The sequence below is a fragment of the Homo sapiens genome, chromosome 17 (assembly GCF_000001405.40).
Source record: "Homo sapiens chromosome 17, GRCh38.p14 Primary Assembly".
Classification (NCBI taxonomy): domain Eukaryota; kingdom Metazoa; phylum Chordata; class Mammalia; order Primates; family Hominidae; genus Homo; species Homo sapiens.
This window is the reverse complement of record NC_000017.11, coordinates 10,664,250-10,672,473: the sequence shown is the minus strand read 5'-3', so window position 1 is coordinate 10,672,473 and position 8,224 is coordinate 10,664,250. Positions and strand designations below refer to the sequence as shown.

Here is an 8,224-nt window from a genome sequence, read left to right as displayed (position 1 = left end):
CAGTGTCTTTTTTTTTTGTAGCTCAACAGAAAGATTCTGAGATTTGGAAAAATAAATGTGAAAAATAAGACCAAGGAGGAAAGACCTGCCTTATCAATAGTAATCTATATTGCTGAGCCATAATACTTTTTTTAAAGTGTAGTACTTATGTAGCATTTAACAGAAAGATCCAGTTGGAAATAAAAGTATGGAATAGATCCATATTATGTAAAACGTTACTATGTAACAAAGATAGTATGATGATCAAGATTATTAAAAATATTGGAACAGTGATTAATGAAATGAAACAAGTTAGGTTCTTAGTCTGTGTCCTCCTTTAAAATGAACATGAGTTTTACAATACCCACTGCCTCCTCCCTTTCTTTCTCTGGAGGTTCAGAATGAGCCTGTTTTTGTAACCACCAAAGTCAGACTAAAATAGTAGGGATGGTTTTTGTAAGCATGACAGCAAAGGCAGAAAGCATAAAGTAAACCATTACTAGGCTTGATCAAAAATATATAACAAAGAGTTACTATCACCGATATATAAGCAGTGTTTACAAATTCATAAGGAAATAAAAGATGAACACCCTGGCTGGGCGCGGGTGTTCCCACCCTGGGATTACAGGTGCTCACGCCTGTAATCCCAGCACATTGGGAGGCTGAGGCGGGCGGATCACAAGGTCAGGAGATCGAGACCATCCTGGCTAACACAGTGAAACCCTGTCTCTACTAAAAATACAAAAAATTAGCCGGGCGTGGTGGCCGGTGCCTATAGTCCCAGCTACTCAGGAGGCTGAGGCAGGAGAATGGCATGAACCCGGGAGGCGGAGCTTGCAGTGAGCCGAGATCACACCACTGCACTCCAGCCTGGGCGACAAGAGCTAGACTCTGTCTCAAAAAAAAAAAAAAAAAAAAAAAATGACCCTGAGAAAAAGCAGGGCAAAGGACACAAACAGCTTCAGAAAAGAGGAATACAAATAGTTAATAATTTAATTCAAACAGTGGAATTTTTGTCTCAGTTTGACAAAACACTAAAAGAATGATGTTACCCATTGAGGATGGGGGTAAAATGGACTCTCACATGGAAAGCGATGGAATGTGAAGTGTGGCAGTCTTTCTGGGTAGCAATTTGTTGATATACAGCAAGCCAGCTATTCCATCTTTATGCATTTATTAACAGAATCATAGATATGCACAAGAATTTGTTCACTGCAGTATTTTTGTAATAATCATGGAAATAGTAAATAATGGAAAACAACCTAGATGCCCAACTCTAGGGCATCCATAAGATACAGCAGAGGCCGGGCATGGTGGCTCACGCCTGTAATCCCAGCACTTTAGGAGCCAAGGCGGGCGGATCACCTGAGGTCAGGAGTTCGAGACCAGTTTGGCCAACATGGTGAAACTCCGTCTCTACTAAAAGTACAAAAAAAATTAGCTGGGCGTGGTGGTGCGTGCCTGTAGTCCCAGCTACTCAGGGAGGCTGAGGCAGGAGAATCACTTGAATCCAGGGGCTGGAGGTTGCAGTGAGCCAAGATCGCGCCACTGCACTCCAGCCTGGGTGACAGAGGAAGACTCCATCTCAAAAAACAAGCAGACAAAAACAATTACAGCAGATAAAACAGTGGTACATTCATAAGTGGGGTACCGTAGAACCATTAAAATAGAGCTATTGATTAATATTTAATGATCTGAAAAGATATCCAATATGTACTTTGAGCAAGTAAGCCGTAGAAGTTTGATCCCATTGTTTGCATAAGCACAAAAAATACCCAAACCTTAACAGGCATTAATAATAGTGGTGTGTTTGTGGATGGCTTTTTATTTTCCACATCTTCCTAAATGAACATATATTAACTTTGCAGTAAGAAAGAGTCATTATTAATTGGGCACTGTGGCATGTGCTTGCAATCCCAGCTACTAGGGAGGCTGAACTAGGAGGACTGCTTGAGCCCCAGAGTTCAAAACAAGCCTGGGCAACACAGTGAGACCCCCATCTCAAACAAGCAAACAAACAAAACACTGTAAATTTCACTTGGAGAAACTGACAGTGAAAAAAAAGATCATTAGGAAAAATAGTCTAGTGTCAGTAAGATAGTTTATCTCTGGGTCAATTTCAGTCAAGTCATTTGCTTCCTACAATACAGCACTAAGTATGATTATGAAGCCGTGGCCAGGCTCAAATGTTGGGTGCTGTGATCCACTGATGATGCCTGCAGGGGTTGTGGGTAAAAGTAGTATCTCCCTTGACCTACTACTCTTTGGCCATGGAACAGAAATGCTGGAGTTTATTGTTGCAGTGTGTGCTTGATTGCTTTTGGTTGGAGAGAGGCATTTCGGAACTCAAGCCTATGAAGGAAATGTTGTTGGTAATGTACTGTCATGGACATTCCCCCTGGAGAATGTCACACGTGGGACTGATAACCCAGCTGCCTCTGCCTCCCCACCTTCAACATACATACACGCTTTGAGATAAAGCCAGTGCTTTGGTCCAAGTAAATCTCTCTTGTGCCTTAAATCACAGAATCAGAAGATAGCAGAGCTGAAGATGATTTTTTATTTTATTTTCTTTATTCCTTTTGAGACAGGGTCTCAGTCTGTCACCCAGGCTGGAGTGCAGTGGTGCAGTCGTGGCTCACTGCAGCCTCAAATTCCCAGGCTCAAGCAATCCTCTCACCTCAGCGTCTGGAGTAGCTAGGACTACAGGCACATACCACCACGCCCAGCTGATTTTTTTGTTTTTTATTTTTTGTAGAGATGGGGTCTGGCTATGTTGCCAGGGCTGGTCTTAAATTCCTGGGCTCAAGAGACCCTCCCATCTCGGCCTCCGAAAGTGTTGGGATTACAGGCGCAAGCCACCGTGCCCAACCTGAAGATGACTTAAGAGGTCATTTAGTTCAACTCCTCTTTTTTTTTTTTTTTTTTGAGATGGACTCTCACTCTGTCACCCAGACTGGAGGGCAATGGCGTGGTCTCAGCTCAGTACAACCTCCATCTCCCAGGTTCAAGCGATTCTCCTGCCTCAGCCTTCCTGCCTCAGCCTCCTGAGTAGCTGGGATTACAGGCGCCAGCCACCATGCCTGGCTAATTTTTGTATTTTTAGTAGAGATGGGGTTTCACCATGTTGGCCAGGCTGGTCTCGAACTCCTGACCTCAAGTGATCTGCCTGCCTGGGCCTCCCAAAGTTCTGGGATTACAGGTGTGAGCCACCGCACCCGGCCTCAACTCCACTTTTTTGGTAAGAGAGGAGGAAATTGAGGCCCAAATATTTAAGAAATTTTAATTTGTATAGGGAAAATTATTTGTCCTGTAATCCTAAAAGATGCTATTAGGGCTCACATCCCTGCGGGGCAGCAGGACATCCTGGGACATGAGGTCTTCCCACAGCCCTGTTGCCCTGGGCAAACATTCCCCACTGAGTCATAGTTTCCCCATCAATCAAGTGGGGATAATTCCACCTGCTCTGCCTAACCCCTGGGATTGTAGAGAGGTTCAGAGGAGATAAGAAACAAATGGGGAAAATATTTGTAATATACACAGTGATTACTAAAATCTTTGCTATGTGAAAGTTCTTAAAATAGAAAAACATTAACATCTTAAGAGAAAAAGGGCAAAGGATATGAAGACTATTCACAGAACTACAAATGACAAGCAAGTGTGTAAGCTGAGGTTCAACCTCACTTGTGGTAAAAGAAAAGCAAACTAAAGCATCAGAAAACTACTGATGTAAACTCCTTTATTTTCTTCTTGTTTGCAGTGTGTTGTATTAGTTACCTTTCTCCAAATATTTCAGTCTAAAACTCCTATAAGTAAGCAACAGTGTCCTGCGTAACTGTAACGCTATTTACACACCTAAGAAAATTAACAAATTCCGTGAGTATCATTTCATATCCAGTTTATGTTCAAATTTCTTCAATTTGTCCCCCAAATGTCTCATCAGATTGTTCTTTTTTTCCTTTCCTTTTTTCCTTCTTTCTCTTCAACCTAGGACCTCACCAAGGTTCATGTAGTATTGCATTTTGTTCTATCTCTTTGATCTCTTTCAACCTAAAATAGGCTGTAGATTTGAATAGATAGAAAGATAGGTAGGTAGATAGATAGAAGAGTCTCCCTCTGTCCCCCAGGCTGGAGTACAGTGGTGTGATCTCGGCCCACTACAACTTCTGCCTCCGGTGTTCAAGCGATTCTCCTGCCTCAGCCTCCTCAGTAGTTGGGACTACAGGCACGCGCCACCACGCCCAGCTAATTTTTGTATTTTTAGTAGAGATGGGATTTCGCCATATTTGTCAGGCTGGTCTCAAACTCCTGACCTCAGGTGATCCACATGCCTTGGCCTCCCAAAGTGCTAGGATTATAGGCGTGAGCCGCCGCACCCAGCCACTGCAGTTCTTTTTATGCTTTGAATATATCTCACTAAGAATGTACAGAGTACTTTTCAAAATTGACAGGAATTAAGTCTTTTGTAAGTGTAGTTATGTTATCAGTTTGATATGTTAGATTTATTAATGTTCTGTTCATATTCAATTTCAGGATTTGCTTTTTCCTTTATATTTACATTTATTTTCAAATCTGTAAACCATTTATATGGTTCAAAAGTCAAAATCATATAAGAAGGCACTCCTCTCCTGGGTCCCATTCACCCTCTATAAGTAATCATTTTCAATAGTGTCTGATTTATCCTTCCTATGTTAGATGTTCTTGTCTCAAAATATTACATTCCAGAACACTGTTTTTTTTTTAACGCTATATCCTGGAAATTAACCTATTTCAGCTCATAGAGACCTTTCTAATTCTTTTTTTTTTTTTTTTTTAGACAGAGTCTTGCTCTGTCACCCAGGCTGGAGTGTGGTGGCACAATCTTGGCTCACTGCAAACCTCTGCCTCCTGGATTCAAGCGATTCCCCTGCCTCAGCATCCCAAGTAGCTGGGACTACAGGCGCCTGTCACAACACCCGGCTAATTTTTGTATTTTAGTATAGATGAGGTTTTACCACGTTGGCCAGGCTGGTCTCAAACTCCTATCCTCAAGTGATCCATCTGCCTTGGCCTCCCAAAGTGCTGGGATTACAGGTTTGAGCCACTGCACCCGGCCTCTGATTCTTTTTTAAGGGTGCATAACATTGTCTCATGTGGATATAACATAATTTATTCAATTAGCCTCCTGTCAATAAACATAGGCTGTTTCCAATCTTTTACTATTATGAACAGTGCCACAATAAATATCGTTATGCTCACAGTATTTTAGTATTTGTGAAAATATCTCTTACCGTAGGTTCCTAGAAGTGGTTTTCCCAATGGAAGGGAAATTGCACGTATCATTTTGCTAGTTTGTTTTTCTAAATTATCCTCCGTAGCAGTTGCACAATTTTCCACCCACCAGAAAAGTGTGAGTGTGTGTGTTATGACAGCTTTGCCAACAGAATGTCTTGCCCAGCATTTGGATTTTCTCCAATGTGATTGGTTAGAAAGTGTGTTTTCAATATGCATTTTTCTTAAATAGGGAAAGGTAAGCATTTTTCATATGTTTAAAGCCCTTCTGTGTATCATTTTCTATAAACCGTCTGCTTGTTTATTTGCCATTTGTTGCTATCTGCAGGGTTTTGTTGTTTTCCTTGTCTTTTTCTTCGTAACTTCTAAGAATTATTTATGCATTAAGGAAGTTGGCCCTTTGTGATGTAAATTACAAATATTTTCTTCCATTTTATCACGTCTTTTAGTTTTGTTTTGTTTTTGTTTTTGTCTTGCTCTGTTGCCAGAGCTAGACTGCAGTGGCGTGATTGTAGCTCACTGTAGCCTTGGCCTCATGGGCTCAAGCAGTCCTCCCCCCTCAGCCTCCCAAGTAGCTGAGACTGAGACTGCAGGCATGCACCACCATGCCTGGCTAGTTTTTTAAGTTTTTTTTTTTTTTTTTTTGTAGAGACAAGGTCTCACTCTGTTGCCCACGCTGGTCCAGAACTCCTGGGCTCAAGCAATTCTCCCACCTCAGCTGGCCAAAGTGTTGGGATTACAGGCATGAGCCACTCCCAAGTAGCTGGGACTGTAGGCATGCACCACCATGCCTGCTGGTTTTTTTTTGTAGAGACAAGGTCTCACTCTGTTGCCCACGCTGGTCCGGAACTCCTGAGCTCAAGCAATTCTCCCACCTCAGCTGGCCAACGTGTTGTGATTACAAGCATAAGCCACTGTGCCTAGCCTGTCATGTCTTTTGGCTCTATTTTAATTTTCCTATAAAGATTTTTAATTGTTATGATGTTGGATTTATCTATTGTTTTTTATTTTACTGCTTTTGAGTCATGGTGGGCCTTCCCCATTTCCAGATTATAAAAGAATCTACCATGATCTAGTTTAGTGCCTGTTTCCTGGCTTTGCATTTTGATTTGATCTATTTGTTATTTAATCTGGTGTATGTGTGAGGTATGGATCCGGATTCATTTTTTTTCCAAATAGCCATCTGGTTGTCTCATCACCACTTATTAAAGAGTCCATCTTTGGTCCACTGACTTGAGATGCCATTTCAGGTATCACATTTCCATAAGTATCCGGGCCTCCTTCTGGACTCTCTATGCTGTTCCGCTGGTCAGTCTGTCTCTTCATGCATAGCACTGCCCTCTTCATTATGTAGACTTTAGAGTGTATGTTTTAGTATCTGGCAGAATGTCCTCCTGTGGCTTTTCTTTTTTCAGTATTTTCTTTACCATACATCCACAAAATTTAAAATCAAGTTTCTAGCTCCAGAAAAAGGAAGTGTTGGTATTTTTATTGGGACTGCATTACATTTATATATTAGCTTGAGGATAATTAACATCTTTATGATGGTGAATCACCCTATCCAAAGCAAGGAATATCTACTTTTGTGTCCTTCAGCAGTTTAAAGTTTTGCATATCTCCTGTTAAGTTTATTCTTAAGTATTTTATCCTCTCTATTGCTATAGAGTCTTTTCTTCCAGAACCAATTGATTATACAAACAGCTCTTCGGGTGATTCTAAGGGATAGCCAGGTTTGAAATCGCTGCTTTAAACAAAAATTCAGTGTTAAATTAAAGGTTATAGTCTGGGTTCGGTGGCTCACACCTGTAATCCCAGCACTTTGAGAGGCCAAGGCGGGCGGACTACTGGAGGTTAGGAGTTCAAGACCAGCCTGACCAACATGGTGAAACCTCATCTCTACTAAAAATACAAAAACTAGCTGGGCATGGTGGTGGGTGCCTGTAATTCCAGCTACTCGGGAGGCTGAGGCAGGAGAATCGCTTGAACCCAGGAGGCGGAGGTTCCAGTGAGCCAAGATCGTGCCACTGCACTCCAGCCTGGACGACAGAGCAAGACTCTATCTCAAAAATAAAAAAATAAAAAATAAAAATAAATGAATAAATAAAGGTTATGGCTTACATTTTAACCAACCCCTACCTCCCAAATTGGCCACCTTTCTTCTATATTTTCTATTATCATGATGCCGTTTGCTCCCAATTTCATCCCTTTGGTAACCTCACAGTGATCTTTGATCTTTCCCTTCCATGCCTGATATATAGCTGGCAGACTAATTTATCTGCTTCCTTGTCTATGTCATTGTTCAGGCCCATCCATTACTTTTAATTCCTTTCTCCAAATCCCCTGGCAAGGTCCTGGGCCATGCCTGCCTCCTTTTTTTGTCCTTGGAATCTGTCTTCACCTGTTTTGCTCAAATCATTCTTCTCGGCTTCAATCATGTTGCTCTGAGCTCCCTACCACAAGGGTCCCGTCAATCATCTGAGTTCAATGCAGCCTGCGACGGTAGCCGCCACCTGCCCCACCATAGATACGGGGTCGTCTCCTTTTTGCCAGCTGAGTGTCTTGGACCTGACTCTCATCTTGAGTCCTCTCCTTAGGTTTCCCCGTGGCTTAGGTTTCCCCGTCAACTCATTACTTGTTCATCTTTCAGCACCAGCTCTCCCTTTCACTCACAGATCGAAGTTTGACATTTTCAGGAAATTTACTCTGATTAACTTTGCAAACTTTCCAGCTTATGTCATAACTCCTGAACCGTCCATCCCCTAATCTTTTCTCATGTATTAATAGTTAGGGAGGTGGTTCTCTGCAAGGCTCTGACATCAAACCGGACTCCATTATAATCCTGGCCGGTCACTCACTAGCTACCTACCCCAAGCAAGTTTCTCTACCTGTCTCGTGCCTTGGTTTCCTCTTCTGGGATTCGTAGCTAATCATAGTGCCTCCCTCGCAGAGTTTACATGAGCATTAGATGAACCAA

General features: G+C 42.1%; 1 protein-coding gene across 2 annotated transcripts in view; it reads left to right on the top strand.

Annotated features, from left to right (window-relative positions):
- The window catches only part of MYH3 (myosin heavy chain 3), a 49,886-nt gene that overhangs the window by 5,944 nt on the left and 35,718 nt on the right, over positions 1-8,224 (top strand). The window contains exon 2 of one of the 2 annotated variants that reach the window (XM_047436127.1): positions 3,740-3,855. The exons of the other annotated variant lie outside the window; for it this stretch is intronic. The gene's annotated coding sequence lies outside the window, so the exon portion shown is untranslated. The remainder of the gene's footprint in view (positions 1-3,739; positions 3,856-8,224) is intronic. 2 annotated transcript variants of the gene reach the window in all.